This window comes from Homo sapiens, chromosome 4 (assembly GCF_000001405.40).
Source record: "Homo sapiens chromosome 4, GRCh38.p14 Primary Assembly".
Lineage (NCBI taxonomy): Eukaryota > Metazoa > Chordata > Mammalia > Primates > Hominidae > Homo > Homo sapiens.
The window spans coordinates 90,451,070-90,470,267 of NC_000004.12; the positions used below are offsets into that span (position 1 = coordinate 90,451,070).

The 19,198-nt window shown below is 40.3% G+C and overlaps 1 protein-coding gene across 35 annotated transcripts in view; it reads left to right on the forward strand.

Moving 5' to 3' along the window:
• The window catches only part of CCSER1 (coiled-coil serine rich protein 1), a 1,477,902-nt gene that overhangs the window by 323,676 nt on the left and 1,135,028 nt on the right, over positions 1–19,198 (forward strand). For all 35 annotated transcript variants that reach the window (XR_001741218.2, XR_938733.3, XR_938734.3 and 32 more), the window contains one exon: positions 17,165–17,285. Coding sequence is in view for 30 of the 35 variants with exons in the window: in XM_011531936.2 (XP_011530238.1) it covers positions 17,165–17,285 (121 nt within the window). In the remaining 5 variants the exon portion in view is untranslated. The remainder of the gene's footprint in view (positions 1–17,164; positions 17,286–19,198) is intronic.

Genomic DNA, 19,198 nt, shown 5'->3' on the forward strand with positions numbered 1-19,198 from the left:
TTTCTACCTTTCCTGAGGATTGTGGTCTCCAAGCACAGTGAAGATAGTATTGTATGCTTATTGCCTTTTATACCCGCTGGGTGACAGCTGCCTTGAACAAGGGGCCATTATTGCTCTGAAGGTACTTGGGAAGTCCAATGTGAGGAATTATTTCATTAATTAGTGCTTTTATCACCTCAGAGCCTTTCTCTGTTCATCATGGAAATGCATCTACCCAGTTAGTGAAGGTATCTACCCATACTAGGAGGTACTGGATGCCCCTTGTCTTTGGCATATGGGTGAAATCCATCTGCCAGTCTTCCCCGAGGTAGACTCCCATCCTTTGGGTTCCAGGGGGACACGCCATTGACTGAGGGGATTATTTTTGAGGCAAGTCTCACAAGCATTAACAACCTGTTTGACCATTTTTAGCAGATTCTTACCTGAGAACAACCTTTGAGCACTTGACAGGTTTTATCTTTATCAAGGTGAAAGGCTTGGTGGAGGATTTTTAAGAACCCAGCTGGAACCCAGCTGGAAGCTGGTAGATGAAGCTTGCTCTCCTCTAATTGCAGCCATCCTGAGGACTGAAGTGTGTATCCCTGAGATACAGCCCATTCTATCTCTGCAGAGGAATACTGAGGTTTCATTTCTTTTATGGAGTACTCCCAGATCAGAGGGCTTCAAGTGGATCAGATATATGAGGCCCTCTTGCTGCCAATTTGGCTGCTTGGTCTGCCAACTTATTTCTTTCAGCTATTTTATGCATCCCCTTTTGCTGGCCTTTACAGTGTATTACTACCACTTTCCATGGAAAGAATACCATGAATAATAATCTGTTAATTTCCTGATGACACTTAATGAGAGACCCATTGGCTGTGAGGAAGTTTGTCTCTTTCCAGATAGTAGCATAGACATGGAGGACTAGGAAAGCATGCTTAGAATAAGTATAAATGTTAACTGCTTTCCCCTTGTTTAATTCAAGTGCCCTCATGAGGGCAATTAGCTCATCTAGTTGAGTACTCGTGCCTGAGGAGAGAGGCGTACTCTCAATAACATCATTCAGGGTGACTATTGCATACCCTGCCTTATGGACCCCTTGCTCTACAAAGGAACTTCTGTCTGTAATGAGAGTCCAGTCCAGGTTCTCTAAGGGGGTTTTTTTGAGGTCCTCTCCGGCTGCATAGGTTTGCACTACTATCTGTTCGCAGTCCTGTTCAAGCTCCCCAGCTTCGTCTGGGAGGAAGGTGGCTGAGTTTAGGGAGAGACAGTTTCTTAACTATACTACAGATCCCTCTAATAGCAGAGCTTGATATTTGAGTAGGTGGTTGTCTGTTAGCCAGAGGCTCCCCTTAGAAGACAGCAGTCCTCCCACATTATATGGCACATAAACTGTTAAGTTATTCCCCATGGTTAACTTAATACCTCTGGTTGCAAAGCTACCACTGCAACTGCCAAGAGGCAGGCTGGCCATTCTTTAGCTGTCAAAACAAGCTCCTTCCTTAGGTACCCTATGGGGTGCTGGGCTGGACCTCGGGCCTGGGTTGGAACTCCCATGGCCATTGCCTTCCTTTCTGAGACATAAAGATTGAACATCTCCTCATTGGGAAGTCTAAGGGCTGGTACCTCAAGCAAGATTTGTTTTAATAGGTCAAAGGCCCTTTTAGCCTCTGGTTCCCAAGTTAGGGAGTGGATCTGGTATTTCACCGTGCCATGTATCTATACCTGCAGAATACTGTAGTGCCCAAGAATGCCTCAGTTGCTTGAGGGTTTTGAGGCAAGGAAAGAAGGACATGGGCTTGATTCTTTCTTCACCTAGTGCCTGGGTCCCCTCTGACAAGACTAGACCTAGGTACTTCACCAAAGTCTGGCAGAGCTGAGCCTTAGATTTTGAGACCTTATATCCTGTTATCCAGAAAATTAAGAGCTTTACTGCCTCCCTAAGAGATTTCATCAGAGTTGGGACATAAAGGATAATGTATACATATTGTAAAACTTTAACCTGAGAATAAAGGAACTCAGAGAGATCTTTTGACACACCTTCTCAAACAGGTGGGGGCTGTCTCAGAATTCCTGAGGTAACACTGTCCAGGTTAACTGGGTGGCCTAGTTGGAGGAATTCTTGAATGCAAACAAATACTGGGAGTTGAGGTGTAGGAAGGAAAAAGGAATCTTTTAGATCCAGGACTGTGAACCATTTAGTTCCCTCAGGTATTTCAGTTAGCAGGTTATAGGAATTGGGAACCACCAGATGAATAGGGACCACAGCCTCATTAATGAGGCAGAGGTCCTAGACCAGTCTCCATTCCCTGTTGGGTTTTTGTATCCCCAATATCAGGGTATTACAAGGGTTGTTACAGGGTTTGAGAAGGCCCTGAATCTTCAGGTTATCAATGATGGCTTCTAGTCATTTCCTAACTTCTGGTTTCAGAGGATATTGTCTCTGGTTAGAGAAGGAGGTGAGATCCTTAAAGTGGACCGAGACCAGTGTGGCAATTGTGGCTCAGCCAATTTTCCCTGGAGTAGTCCAAACTTCTGTGTTAATATTGGTCTCTACTATGGGGAGACAAAGAGTCTGTCCTGGAGCCATAAAGATAGTGGTTCCCATGTGAGCCAAAATATCCCTGCCCAAGAGAGGAGTTGGGCTTTCAGGCATGATTAGAAAGCATGAGTAAACAAGAGGTCCTGCCAACTACAACTAAGGGGTTGAGAAAACTATTGGGTTAAAGGCTTTCCTGAGACACCCCTTATGGTAGCACTAAGAGAGAAGGGAGTGCCTGGACTGGAGTGGAGAACTTAAAGGACTACTTCAGTGTCCAGGAGGAGGTCCCCTTTCCTCCCTTCAACTTTCAGAATCACCCTGGGTTCCTGGAATGTAATGGTGGTCTGGACCACCAGAGCCAGGTAGAGGAGCCCTGGGATGTGTGAGTCCTGCTGGACCACTTGAGAGACTAGCTCTGGACCTGGTGACCTGTGTCTCTGGGGATAGTCTTCCCTCCAGTGGTCTCCATTACCTACTGGACAGGGTCAAGGTGGCTTTCTCATGTTGCCTGGGCAGTCTTTCCTGAAGTGCCTTGGCTTGCCACATTTGTAGCAGTTAACAGGTACATCTAGGGGACTCTGGGGTTTGTGAGCCTGCAAAGAGTCCATTAGAGCCTCTGCCTTTTCTTTTGTTTCATGTTTTTTTTTTTTTTTTTGGATTTCCTCCTGATCCCTATTATGAAAGACCATGGTGGCCAATTTCAGGAGGTTCTCTAAAGTACTATCTGGTCCTACAGCCTATTTTTGCAGCTTCCTTCTGATGTCTGGGGCTGCCCGAGTAATAAACTTATCCTTCAGGTTCAGTTATCCTTCAACTGAATCAAGAGATAGAGAGGTATGCTTTACCAAGACCCCTTTTAGCATTTCCAGGAAGGCAGTGGGTTTCTCATTGAATCCCTTTTCTATCATGTTTAGCTTGGAGTAATTAAGAGGCTTAGTTCTAGTCCTTCATAAGCCCTCCAGTATGCACACCTGAGAGTGTTTCCTCTTCCATTCTCCCATTTCATCATTGATGTCCCATTTATTATCCTCCAATGATACTACTATTCTTCTAATTGGATTGGCACTCTATGACATACAAAGCTTATCCCCCAAATTATCTGCTGCTTTCTGGGTGGCCTGCTTTTCCACAGTAGTCAGGATCTGATTCAAAAGTAACATAATGTTCTTCCAGGAGAGTTAAAATACTTGGGTTAAATTCTGGAAAGCCTCTATATGCAAATGTCAGGGTCATTTGAAAACTTGCCAAGATCTCTCTTAATCTGCCTTAAGTTCCGTAGAGAAAAGCAAATTTGGACCTTAATGAGACTATATTTGCCAGCCTGTTGTAGGGGCAAAAGTGCCTAAAACTAAGATTTCTAGGATGGAACAAACTTAGAGAGAACCTGGATAAGGGAAGTGGAAGGAGATGATTCCCCCAATGGAGGTACCTCTGGGGTTTGCTTCTCTATTTCCCTGGGATTGCCCCTTGCAGCCTTTTCTGAAATTGCCACCAGGAGGGCAGAATCAATCCTACAATGTTGGCAAAGGTCCGAACTTCCCTGCAAGGCAAAGAAAGTCTGCACATGTGGGACTTCAAACCATTTGCTCTCATGTCTACAGAAAAGTTCCAGCTTCAGAATGGTATTAAAATTAATACTTCATTTCTGAGGCCATGCTTCTGCCTGCAGAACATAATTCAGCCACACCTTAGTGCAAAGGAATATAAGGCAGATTTTCTCCAGAGTCTGAGTATTAAGGAGTCCCAGGAATTCAAGATACACTCTAGAGGAGTATAGGTTAAAGATGGTTGTTTACCCTTCTGGAAGAGAGAACAGAGGAGGAAAAGGTGATTTTTCTTCTCTCCAGAGTCTGAGGGTCAAAGGGGTCTCAGTGATTCAGGATGCAGTCAAGAGGAGTGCAGGTTGAAGATGGTTGGTTACCCATCAGGAAAGAGGGGTAAAAAGCATCCCTTTGTTCCTTTCTCTTTCCAGCAAATACCCAGGGTAGGTGAGGCTAAGAAAAAAGGGCATCCCTTTCTTTCTTCTGACCTTATATCCCTAAATCCCCGTGATCTTTGCAGGTGTTGACCATGTGTGCAAGTGTGACTTCACCCATGAGGTGGGGAGGCATACCCAACAGGAGTATTCACACCCACCTATATGGTGCCTAATCCTCCTGCTTTTGGTAACCTTTAAATTCCCTAGACCTTATCTATGCCATGGGTAGGAGGATGACCTCCATCCACGATGCAGGAGGGCCTAGTTGGCAGGAGTTAGTCATGCTCACCTGCGCCGTGCCCCCTAAACTTCACTGTCATGTGCCTTTGGATCTCTCACATCTAGTTTTTCTTTCTAGGGCCTCAAAACTAAACTTGGGACAAAAAAATGCCTCAGGAGGGTGTATGGACCCATTAAATTAGTGGCCTCACCAAATTGCAGCCAGAAACTGGTGGGGCAGCCCATCTCTTGCTTCCTTATTATGAATAGGTGAAGCTGTGGGACCAGGTCCTCTGCAAACAAGGGAAAGAAAGGGAGTCCTGGGAATTGGGGACCTGGCCTAACAAGATGCTTCCCAAAAGAATGATTTAAGTTCAGGGGTGGGGAAGGTGCCTGGGGAAAAAACCTTTTGCCCTGTGCAAATGGGTTCCTTCAACAGGGGAAAGAAAACTCTCAATTGTTACATCCTTCTTGCTTCTAAGAATAGATAGACATCACATTGTTCTGATTTACACTTCTGATGACCAAGCCAAGTGCTTATTCTACCCGGTATTATTATCTCTGTACTTTGCAACAACACCCTTATCATTGTATATAAAGAAGAGATAGGAGCCACGACAACCTTGAAAGAAAGAAAGAATGATAGGAAAGACTGGAGGTCCTAGTGCTGACACCCTAACAGGCAGTCGGGGACTGGAGTTAGTTCAGAGGCCTTTGGATAACACTGAGATATAGCCTCAGCCAGATACCCTCATTTGCCCCAGGACCTCCTTCTGATCCCACACGATGGCTAGACCTCCATGAAGGGAAACTGGATTGGAACAAAGCCAACATTCCCAACACCCAAGGGTGATGGGGGATTGGCAGTGTCCTCCCCAGCAAGCCTGTCCTCATGTCTTAAGTCCAGCAGCTATGCTAGTCACTTTCAACTGGCCAAGAGAGGCATGGCATTTTTCTTTCAGTTTGGTTGTAGTGGAGTTTAGGGATTCCCCAAAAAAGGACAGAAAGCAGCAAGTTTGCTTTTACTCACCCTTTTGCAGATCCTGGATGAGCCCCCCAAAATGTCATAGGATCCTCAGGGTGTTGCTTTGCCAGCTAGAAATCTCTGTGGCTGGTGGTGCCTTTGCCCAAGTTTTGCTCAGGACCACTGGACTTGATTTGCTCACTTGGCCTGGCAGTCTGCACTCGGCTTGTACTACTGGCTCAGATCCGATGCCTGCCAATGGTGAGCCAGGCATGAAGCGGTGAGGAGTGTGTAAGCGAGCGATCCCAGGGTCCGGCCACTGTGTACAACAAGGCACACTGGCTGGGGCTGGCGGGCTGCTCCAGGTGCTGGCACAGGTGCTGGTTCCCTGCGAGGCTATGGCTGGACCAGGTGTACCGCAAGTGGCTTCCACTGCAGGCACCAGGGAACACTTTGTCACCCAGCAGCTTGGAGATCCCAGGAACTGCAGAACGCCAAATAGCGTGTAAGAGCCCTGGCTCAGGGAACTCTTAGAGCTGAACTCCCCAAAGAGCCTCAACTTTTCTCTCCTCTTTTCTCTCTTTTTTCTTCTCCTCTTCTCGTGCTCACAACATGCTGACTAGGGGGGCATGTTTCAGCCCTGTTTGTGCCATTCAGCAGGTCCCAAGTACTTGTCTTGTTTCCAGGAAGAATGAGGTGCGTGGGCAACTGCAAGGTGAGCAAGGCAAAGAGGTGTTTTATTGAGCTACAGTACAGCTCTCCAGAGACCTGAAGTGGGTAGCTTCTTTCAACAGGCAGATCATCCAGATGTCTGTTCAGCTCTCAGCTGAGAGAAGACCCACAGTGGGTAGCTCCTCCCCACAGGCAGGTTGTCCTAATGTCTCTACAAATCTGGCTGAGTCCAGGCTTTTATGGGCTTCAAAGAGGAGGAAGTGTGTGCTGATTGTTCCATGGGCGGCCATGGCTGGGCCCGGAAAAGGCACCATAATTTTCACTCTGCTCCAAGCAACTGGCAGCCTGGCACCCAGGCTTCAGGCCATCCCTAGCATAAAGGTGAGTCTTCACCAGGGACCCACCTCTTTCCACCCAGGAGCCTATCTGCTTTCTGCCATCATCAACCTGCCATCCACAGCCTGCAGACCCATGCCAACCTTCTCTTTGCCGTCCCTCCCATGCTTATCAGCACCCAATGTCCAGAGGGGCTCGAGACAGCAGGGTTCTGGTGTGTCGGTGCCACCCTGAGCATGTGCATACCCAGCAGGGTCATGGCCGTGCCCAGGCTTTGTCACAACTGTGCTCCAAAATTGGAGAGGGCACCAGAATCAGGGAAATTTCAGGCAGCAGGAGCCTGCTGAGATCAGGGGAATTCCTGGGCCCTCAAGAGCTCAGGAATTCCTGAGTCCATAGCCGCAGCTGGTTTGCTGCGGCTCTTAGGAGAGCCCCTCCAACTTGTAAGGGGGCAGGGCCTCCACCTGTTCCTCCTTCCACCTGCTCCATGGAGTGCACCGCCCCAGCTACACCTCCCACACTGCAACCAGCATCTTCACAGCCACCACTCCACATGGACCACTGCTGCCATCTTTAGAAAATAGAGTCTGCCACAATAAGTTTTTTTTTTTTGAGATGGAATCTTGCTCTGTTGCCCAGGCTGGGGTACAGTGGCACCATCTTGGCTCACTGCAACCTCCACTTCCTGCATTGAAGCAATTCTCCTGCCTCAGTTCCTGAGCAATTGGGACTACAGACATGTGCCACCATGCCTGGCTAATTTTTTTTTATTTTGAGTAGAGACAGGGTTTCACCCTTTTGGCCAGGCTGGTCTCGAACTCCTGACCTCAGGTGATCCACCCACCTCAGCTCCCCATATTGCTGGGATTAAAGGCGTGAGCCACCATGCCTGGCCTTGCCACAATAAGTTTTAATGGTCCTGCCAATATTAAAATGAAATCTTTAATGAACAACAAGTCATAAACCTTCTATGTGAACTACTTAGAAGGAGCAGACTACAGATGATGATGCCATTCTAATATTATGTGTGGAATTTTTGTCAGTGATGAAGGACTTCACAGACCTCCAGTGGTGCTAAAGTTCTTACACATCGCTTTTGATGGAAGCTTGAAAACCACTTAACCTAGGTAGCATCTTCTGCTCTAACTGGTGGCTGTGCAATGGAGAAAATGCCGATAAAGTTTTTAATAGCTAATTTATCAGCAATAATAATTGTTTGTGACTCTGTTCTTTCTAATGCTATCTATTGTATGCATATGTATGTGTTTATAGTATATATTATATATGTTATATATGCATACATGTGTATGTATGTGTATCTACATATATAGATAGTGTATGTGTGTACGTATATATAGATACAGATATAAACACAGGCAAATTCTTACAACTATACACGATCTAGTTTTAAATACACTAAAAGCTTATGTCACATTGGGAAGGAGGGAACCATAATGACAAGGTAACGTATTTTCCAGCATTAGAATTATTGAAGTATGAACTGGACATCTGTCAGAGATATTTGGAATGGGAGAGGATAGGAGTAGTAGCAATGTAGATTCAGCCATTAGGTGGGAGTTTGGAGTAGAACTCTGAGATCTTTTTATTTAATTATTAATATTAGTAAAAGTAATTCTGTCCCCCTAAAATGCTCTTTAAATTAGTTTGCTAGGGCTGGCATAACAAAAGGTATTATTGTCTTGGTGGCTTAAACAACAAACATTTATTATCTCACAGTTCTGGAGGCTAGAAGTTCAAATTCAGTGTGTCCGTAGAGTTGATTTCTCCTGATGGCTTCTTTCTGTGTCTCTAGACATCTTCTCCTGATGGTTTCTAGATGGCTTCTTTCTGTGTCTTCGATGTTTTTTCCACTATGTCTGCCTGTGTTGTAATCTCTTCTTCTTAAAAGGGCACCAGTCGTACTGGATTAGCGCCCACCATAATGACAATATTTTAACTTAATTTTCTATTTATTAAAATAAATGACACTTTATTCATAATTTGTTTTACTTTACAATTAGTAGGGACTTTATAAATGCTTATTTCATGTTTGACATTCAAGAACACCATTGGCTATATCAGCTTATATTTGAAGTGAAGGACACTTTTTTGCCAGCCCCAAACATACTAAAGTGTTTTGAGTTTTAATAATAAGATAGGTAAGCTTACAAATGGAGTTCATAACTTTTGCTATTTTTCTCTATCACTTGTGAGCTTTCAATTTTATTGTAGAAAAAAATTTCACAACGAAATATTTGTGAAAAGAACTATTCAAAAACTAAGGCGGCCGGGCGCGGTGGCTCACGCCTGTAATCCCAGCACTTTGGGAGGCCAAGACGGGCGGATCACGAGGTCAGGAGATCGAGACCATCCTGGCTAACACGGTGAAACCCCGTCTCTACTAAAAATACAAAAATTAGCCGGGCATGGTGGCGCGTGCCTGTAGTCCCAGCTACACAGGAGGCTGAGGCAGGAGAATGGCGTGAACCCGGGAGGCGGAGCTTGCAGTGAGTCGAGATCGCGCCACTGCACTCCAGCCTGGGCGACAGAGCGAAACTCCGTCTCAAAAAAAAAAAAAAAAAAAAACTAAGGCAAGAAAAAAACTGAGATTAAATGGGTCAAAAATATGCAATTTCAATTATAATAGACCTGATATATTCCAACCATCTGTCATAAAATGAAAGGTTACTATTGGCACACAGCGACAAAGTTACCAGAATTTGGGTGATATGAGGTAAGCCTGACCAAATTTAATATTTTCATTTTCACTTTATAGTTTTGTCTGAGTTTCCAGGGTATAGTTATTTTCATCTGTTTTTCATATTTTAAGAAGTTTTTACTTCAGGATATTGACAGTTTTACGCAATTCCTTCACATCTTAACAAATATCTCAAGATGATATTAGCCTTAAATAATATGGTTGTATAGAATACTTTTAAATTTAAATTGTAAACTAAATTGTCTCCTAATAATTTGAAGGTCTTTGCTTTCTTCTTTTGATGGCTCTTCTCTCACACCCATCTGTACTGTGGCTGTATTTTCTGATTTTGTAATGTGCTGAGAATTGTATTTCATCTTAATAAAGAAAATAAGTAGATATAGACTGTGACTATATATTTGAAATGAAGTGTTAACATTTCTGAATACTCTGCACTCGACTTTTTCCCCTCTAGTCCACTACACTGCTACTTCAAATAATAAGAAGCCCTCACCATTTCTCACTTTGTTTATTTCAATAGTGCTGTCAGTGGTTTCACTCAGTCTTGTTCCTGTACTTAGGTGTTGCCCAGGCTATTTTTTTTTTTTTTTTTTTTTTTTTTTTTTGAGACGGAGTCTCGCTCTGTCGCCCAGGCTGGAGTGCAGTGGCGGGATCTCGGCTCACTGCAAGCTCCGCCTCCCGGGTTCACGCCATTCTCCTGCCTCAGCCTCCCAAGTAGCTGGGACTACAGGCGCCCGCCACTACGCCCGGCTAATTTTTTGTATTTTTAGTAGAGACGGGGTTTCACCGTTTTTTAGCCGGGATGGTCTCGATCTCCTGACCTCGTGATCCGCCCGCCTCGGCCTCCCAAAGTGCTGGGATTACAGGCGTGAGCCACCGCGCCCGGCCCGGCTATTTTTAAAAATATATAAAGCTGATCATGTTGCTCTTTGTTTAATGATCGGTATCAATTCCCATTAACTTTAGGATCAAATACTAATGTTTTTAAGTTTTTAAGTTTAGAAGGTGTTTAAGGTATTGCCGATGACCTATGCCTCCAGCTCAGTCTTCCTTAACTTCTTGTGTCTTGTGTCTTGTCTAGGCCCCAATCACATTGAATTATTTCCATTTCTCAATATATATATAACATTTTCTCATATCTCAATGCCTTTTAGCACACTCTTTCCTGTGCTTGGCTAGCATCTTTTCTTTTCCCCCATGCCTCACTTCACTTTTCTTCAGTCTCTCATTCATTTACCAAAGATTATTGAGTGCCTCTTTTGTGCCTGGCACTCTACTAAGTAACAGGAGTGAACAAGACTGCAACAGTCCTACTGTTTTGATCCTGCCAGTTACTTTACTTGGCTGGCTTCTATGATTACACTTCCTAAATGGTACAATCTCCTACTACACTTTAAGTTACTGCAAGGCAAATGTTTTATGTTTTATCTTCACAAGTTCAGCACCTACTACAGTGTCTGGATATGGAATAGTTCAATTAATGCTACTAAGGAATGAATATATATGCCTGCTTTTGCTCAATGTGTGCTATTTACAGTCATGATGCAATGGCTTGTATCTTATCTGCTTCTTTTTTTTCATTTCTTCTTTCAATTCTGGATTAATATAATTTCATCAAAAAACTTTGTATAGGCACTAAAAAGAAATATTTACTGGTTCAGTAAATATTTACTGGTTCATTTTGGTATTTACAATACCAAAATGTCATTGTTACTTATGTATTTATCAACCAGGAAAACAGACCAGTAAAAGATATAAAGAAGTTTCTTTTGTGTATTTGTTTTTGTAACAAGTAATCAACGTATGTGATTTTGGAGACCGGTTAGGTAAGTCCAAAATATGTAGAGCTGACTATCAGGCAGAGCAGGAGGGAACTTTTGACAAGGATGGGATTTCTATCTTCAGGAAGCCTCAACTCTGCTTTAAGCCTTTTTTAACTGATTGACTCAGACCCATCCAGGTTACCTAGGATAATATCACTTAAAGCTAACAGACTATGGACTTTACATGTAGAGAAGATATTTTCACAGCAACACTTGGGTTAGTATTTGAATAATTGGGGCTTGTAGCCTAGCCAAGTTGACATATAAAACAAACAAACAAACAAATCAGCCAGGTATGGTGGTGTATACCTGTAGTCCCAGCTACTCAGGAGGCTGAGGCAGGCGGATCGCTTGAGCCCAGGACTTTGAGGGGTAGTGCATCATGATTGCACCTGTGAATAGCCACCAGACTCCAGCTTGGGCGAATAATAAAACACCATCTCATAAAGTAAAACAGTTATAAATAATATTTGCTAACATTTTAAAAGAATATCATTTTCCTGATATTATACTAAGCACTTTACATGCATTAATTCATTTAATCATCACCACAACCCAAGTGCAAGATTATTATTCATAGTTTACTAATGGGAAAACAAATGCAAAACACTCATTCTCCAGTGGAACAATAGAACAATAAGTCAATAGACTTATAACCATTGTTATAAGTCATTTTGAAGGACAGAGCTTAGAACCCAAAGTATTTGTATGGTGAGTCAAAGTTGTGATATGTTCTGATATGGATTATTTTTTAAGAAGTTTTTACTTTAGGATATTGATAATTTTGATGCAATTCTTTCACATCTTAAAAAAATCTCAAGATGATATTAGCTTTAAATCATAAAGTTGTACAAAATACAGTCTTAAATAATGTGGTTGTAAAACCAGGCTGCTTGACGTTTTCACAGTTTTTCTTAGAATAAAGAATCCAGATGTAGGGATATTATTGAGTATAAACAATTGAAAAAGATAAACTATTACATTTACACTATTACTTCAGAGCAGTTGATATATTTAAATGAGAATCAGCATGAAGTATGTTCAATAGCATGAGGACTAGCGAGAAATAGATCAAATTTGGGTTTTTCTATACTCAAGCTGTGTGACCTTGAAAAGTGCAATGACAGTAATAACAATATGCCATAGAACTTTTCTGAAGGGTAAAAACAATACAGTAAGAGTAAATGCACAGTTAGTGCAGAATTGTGTCTATCTTGTCATTTAAATGTTTGTTAAATAATGTATTCTTTTGCTAGGTTAAGCTTTATCAGCGGGTTGTTATGTGGTAGATACATGGATCCTGGATATTTGGAACAGAAAATGGAAAAGTGAACACTCTACCAAGTCAAAAGCAAATTCTTTTTTTTTAAGGCTGCAATTTGCCAATTAATAGTAAACTATTTTGGTGAATTGGAGTGGTGATCTCAAATGTAATAAATATGTATAAATAAAATATAATACAAGAATATCAAAAACACATTACTTATAACTACTCTAGGCACCTTCAGTCACTTAAATGTTTTAATTTTGCATGAAAGACAAAAATGCCTCTCTGATGAATCCTTAGTAGTTTTGCGAAATTTATTAAAATATAAAATATACTGCTTTTTTATGCTTTAACAATGATTTTATAAATTAAAAAAACGATAGAAATTCAGTTATTAAATAAAATTATTTTGATGTAGTCAAACTGGAGAAAAGGAGTAATTTAAAATTTTAGTGTTTAAATTTGGCATCTCAGTTTAATATGAATCTGGAAGAAACATTTTAGGGAATACAGCAATAATAGAAAGTCATTTCCTGTAATAGCATAGTTTTTGTGGTGTAATAAAAGGTTACATGACAAGGTCAGACTACTTCATTTCAAAGCTAAAAATGATTTCTACTCTGCCCTGAGGTTTGCAGATTTCTGACTGAGTGGTCCCTGGAAGGCTTGTTCATTTTGTTGTTTATATATTTAATAACTATCTAGAAATAAATAAGACTAGTGCTTAGAACCAAGTTTTAGGATAAGCAATTTTTGTGACTATCAAGTATTTTTTCTTATTTTAAAGTCCCTATTTGTATAATTAAACATCGGTTTCTCAGGCCTGAATCATCCTTTTCTTATCAACTGATGGTTGCTGATAAATGACTTCTACTAGGTACAGTTCCAGTAGTTGTTTAGTGACCCTGATCTTGGCCAAAAGGCCTCATCTGTCTAGAAACACATGGGGACTTTTATTTTCCAGGTATCCTTGCTCTGACACTCTCTAGTGACAGAAGCCTAAGACGGAATATTCTGCACTTCATGCAATACATTAACAACAAAAATTCTTTTCACAGAAGAGCAAATTTAGCATATAGGTTTTTATGTTGTTGCCTCAAACTGTTATTTATATCTATGGTTGGAAATAATCGGGAAAAATGTATTATTGATTTTTCAACCCATGGATGCTGCAAATCTATTTGAATATGGAATGGCTTGACACTGTCTCATGTTTTTTATATTACATTATAATTGTCTGCTGTTCCATAATTAACCTTTATAAAATTAATATGTGAATAAAATTTTTTATGCATTATTAACTTTTTAAGTGCAATTAAATAATGGAGTAATTAAAATTTGAGTGTTTCTGTTTGTTGTACTCAGTTTTTATATTTGATTCAAATGTCACATCAGCAGTATCCATTTTGTTTTCGAGACGGGGTCTCGCCCTGTGGCCAGGCTAGAGTGCAGTGGTGTGATCTCGGCTCACTGCAACCTCCAACTCCCTGGATCAAGTGATTCTCCTGCCTCAGCCTCCCAAGTAGCCGGGATTACAGGCACGTGCCACCACATCCAGCTAATTTTTGTATTTTTATTAGAGACAGGCTTTCACCATGTTGACCAGAATGGTCTCAATCTCTTGACCTTGTGATCTGCCCACCTCTGCCTCCCAAAGTGCTGGGATTACAAGTGTGAACCACCGCCTCTGCCTCCCAAAGTGCTGGGATTACAGGTGTGAACCACCGCGCCCAGGCAGCACTTTCCGTGTTCTTTTTTTTTTTTTTTTTTGAGGTGCAGTCTTGCTCTGTCACCCATACTGCAGTGCAGTGGCCTGATCTCGGCTCACTGCAACCTCAGCCTCCCCGGTTCAAGCAATTCTCCTGCCTCAGCCTCCTGAGTAGCTGGGACTACAGACGTGTGCCACCATGCCTGGCTAATTTTTTGTATTTTTAGTAGAGACAGGGTTTCACTATCAGTTTTTATTTCTTTTCTCTACTTTCATTTTCATTGGCAAATTTTTTCCTTACCTGGTCTATTTTTTATAAAATGTCACATAAATTAATCACGGGGAGACAAGGAAGCAATGCAAGTACACATTATTATTTATGTGCTTGAACTGAATAAGTAATGCCTAGTTATCAATAATTGACAGAATTTGAAAGAAGTGATGTGTGTGTGTCACTGATCATGATGTACCTCTTTTGTTTACATAGTGGTTTGTGTACTGAAGTGCTAGTAAAGAAGTTTGTACTTTATACAATTACTCACAGTTGATATACCATGTGAACTTCAGTTTGAACCCTGTTTTTGGGGAGTGACTGATGTTATTTAACTAAACCATGTAAGTGAAGTTTTTGCATATTAGAACCATGTAAAAAGAGGACTGAATATACAGTATATATATTCAATTTCATTCATTATCAGGAATATATAAATTGAAGTAACAATGCCATACTGCACTACACACTTAAAAGAATGGCTTTGGTAGGCAGAATTCTAAGATGACACGTGACTCCAGCCCTTAATTTTTATTTACTGGGAAGATGATAGGGCATCACTGCTGTGATTATCAGTTGGCAAAAAGGATTTTGCAGATGTAATTAAGGCTACTAATAAGTTGACTTTCAGTTAATCAAAAAGGAAATAATGTGGGTAGGCCTCACATGAGCCCTTTAAAAGCAGAAAGAATGTTTTTTCCCTAGTTGGTAGCAAAAGAAGAAATCAGAGATATTTAAAGCATGAGAGGGCTTCAATGTGAAGGATGTTCCCCACTGCTGAGATGGATGGGCCATAGGCCATGAACCTGTGAGTAGCCCTAGAAGCTCAGAGTGGTCCCTCGTCACAACAGCTAGCAAGGTAAAAGGAGCCTTGAATCCTGCTACTGGAAGGAGGTAAATTCTGTGAACCTGAGTAAGTCTGGAAGTGGATTATTCACACAGAGACATTAGATAAGAGCCCAGATTCATTGATACCTTGATTTTGGCCTTGTAAGACCCTAATCAGGGAACCCAGTTGAGCCCATCTGGACTTCTGATCTCTAGAACTGTGAAATGATTAATGGATATTGTTTTAAGCTCCTAAGTTTGTGTTAATTTTTTATGCTACAATAGAAAATTAATATAATATTAAAACTTTAATAAGAAAAAAGTGACAAAACCAAGTGTTGGTGTGGATGTGAAACAACTGAAACTCTTTCTCTATTGTTGGTAATGCAAATTAGTACAGACAGTTCTGAGTTGTATTTGGCAGTGACTACTAAAGCAGAACATAAAACATGACTATATCCTAGAAACGATTACAGCTTATTGATATTTTTCCAATATAAATAAGTTTGTGCACTGTTTAAAAAAGTACAAGAATGTTCATAGACAATTGAAATAGCCCCAAACTGAAAATAGCTTGTGTTCATTATTAACGAAATGTATAAATAAATCGTGGTATATTCACCAGTGGAAAGCCACACAGCTATGAGAATGAACCAGCTACTACTAGACATAGATGAATCTTATAATCACACATTGAATGAAATAAAAAACACATAAAAGAATATGCGTGGGCCGGGTGCAGTGGCTCATGTCTGTAATCCCAGCACTTTGGAGGTGGAGGTGGGCGTATCATGAGGTCAAGAGATCAAGACCATCCTGGCCAACATGGTGAAACCCCGTCTCTACTAAAAAATACAAAAATTAGCTTGGCATGATAGTGCGCCTGTAGTCCTAGCTACTTGGGAGGCTGAGGTAGGAGAATCACTTGAACCCAGGAGGCAGAGGTTGTGTTGAGCTGAGATCATGCCACTGCTCTCCAGCCTGGGTGACAGAGCGAGACTCCTTCTAAAAAAATAAAAAATAAAAAAGGGCCTGGCTGGTGGCTCATGCCTGTAATCCCAGCACTTTGGGAGGCTGAGGCGGGCCGATCTCGAGGTCAGGAGTTCAAGACCAGCCTGGCCAACCTGGCAAAATCCCATCTCTACTAAAAATACAAAAATTAGCTGACACGGTGGCGGGCGCCTGTAATCCTAGCTACTCGGGAGGCTGAGGAAGGAGAATCCCTTGGACTTGGGAGGCGGAGGTTGCAGTGAGCCAAGATCGTGCCACTGCACTCCACTCTGGGAGACAGAGCGAGACTCCGTCTCAAAAAACAAAACAAAACCAAAAAAAAAAAGAAAAGAATATGCTCACAAAAGAATATGATCCCATTTGTGTAAAGGTCAGAAATAGGCAAAACTTATTTATGGTTCTATAAATGATGATAATGGTTAAGTTCAGAGGTTCCAGTAGTGTTTGGGAAGGGGTACCACAGGAGGATTTAGGGTGCTGGTGATGCACTGTTTATTGATCTTGATGCTGACTTAGCAGGTGTGGTCATGTTGCAAAGATTCATTTAACTGTTTATGTATAACTTAAGCACTTTTCATTCTTTGATGAAAAGCTTTTTTAGAGAAGGACTATAAACTGTTGGCAATACCTTTTCCACCCTGGGATTTAAAAAAGAAAAATTGCCCAAGGTCATATAGCTAGTGAGTGAAAAGACTTAGAGCAGAAAATATTTAAGGATAATTTAATAATTAATGTTTTATTAGAATTAGATCTTTTATTAGACTAAATATAGAAAGGGGAAAAAGGAGATGTGAGACTAGTTCATAAATAATTTTGACATTTACAATTCCTCGGTTTTTTTGAACAGTTTGCCGGGAGGACTCATATCACTCTGTCGTCTCATGTGCCGCAGTAGTTCTTACTCCTATGGAACCAATGATAGAAATGAAGAAAAGAGAAGAACCAGAATTTCCTGAGCCTTCCAAACAGTGAGTTGTTCATTTAATTTTTCAAGGCCTTGTAAAATCAATTAGATAACTGATAAGAAAATGTGATTTATAATAAATGTGTTAATATTAGTATAAAGAAAGAAGAAATAAATTTTATGGGTTAAAAAATCATCTATTCTATATTATCTTAATGAATTAACTTCTGTGTCTCCTAACTTCATGTCTTTGAACCATGTGTCATTCAAGTTTCATTTTGTTACCTTATCTTAAGGACATGGGCAAGTAGGCTGATGTACTTTATTTCCCTACTCTGTGATTGTGGGTACACTGTTCTTGGATTGCTTACTATATAAGCTGTAGGCTTTAATGATATAAAATGAAATCAGTTTTTAATATAAAGTTTTTAAAGTTGGTTTGCATTTTTATAAGGAATGTAAGTTATTATTTTAAAATATTTTTACTAAATTAGAACAAATTTGAACTTTATACTATTTTAGTGTTTTCATATTTTTTCCATTTAAACAGTTCAAGCTTTAATTTAAATTAAAATTTGATCTTCTATTATATAAATGATAAACTTGTACTCTTATAATGACTAAAGAGGCTTAAGTTCATGATGATAAATGTAAGCTTATGTAGATGTCAAATATTAAATAAATGGGGATTATTTCTGCTTATATATTAAATACATGAAAAGGAAAAAACCTGCTGAGTATTTTTCAGTGAGAAATAGTATCATGCCTCCTTTAAGGTTTCTGGTTAGTGATTAGGTGATATAAGGGGCTGCCAAGGATTTTGGGCTGACCACCGTAGGAGTAAGGCGGAAGATATATCTTGATGTACCTACCATTTTTCTCCATTGGATTACACTGTGTTATAGTTATTTGCTTCTTGTATGTCTTTTTACTAGATAATAAGCTCTTAAGGCATAATTGTGCTTGATACTGTTTGTGAATAGGGCAATGTATATATTTGATTGCATGAAGATATTCAGTATTAATATTCTTATTATAGAGGGAAGAAACACTGACCAATTTAGAAAATAATGATTTTAATTCAGTTTTAATACAATCTAAAAGTCAGTTAATTTAACTGCTCTTCATATAGTCTTAATTTTTAAGTTCCAAAAGCCATTTTTGTCTAATAGATAATTGCATCATGTTTGCCAATTGAATTATATTAGAAAGCTCAAATGTGTTTTCCTGCAAAACACACACACACACACACACACACACACACACACACACACACATTTCCTTATCTTTTATTTAGGGTGATATCACCACTCTCTTTGTTAGTATTATGTGAAATGATATTGAGAAAGGACCTGAAATCTAATAATCCATAAAGTTCTAGTTATGTTGACCATTCTATAGCTTCAGCTATCAACATTATGGGTGACTTATGGTTATATATTCTTTTCATGAAGGCTCTTCTGAATGCAAATGTAATATTTAAAGTTGTTCATCAGACTTGTCTAACTAGGCATCCTACCGAAGTGTCATGCAGGTTGAATGTCCCTTATTCAAAATGCTTGGGAGCAGAAGTGTTTCAGATTTCAGATGTTTTCAGATTTTGCAATATTTGTATTATATTAGTTGAGCATCCTAAATCCAAAAATATGAAATTTGAAATGGAACATGAGCATTTTCTTTGATTGTCAAGTTAACACTCAAAAAGTTTCAGATTTTAGAACATTGGGATTTTCAGGTTTGGGATCTTCAGTCTGTTGTAAATATGTCTGAAGACAAATTAATAATCTCCTCTAAGTACTCCGTAAATTCTCAAGTTGTTCCATATTTAAGTAAAGCTACCATCATTTTTCTTTTTTTAAAATCTTGGTATGTTTTCTTCCTCACATCTCATATTCAATCAGTTATCAATTACTTGATTAATGTCTCCATTATATTTTCTTATTTCAGCAGACCTGGAAGGTATATATATCCCATATT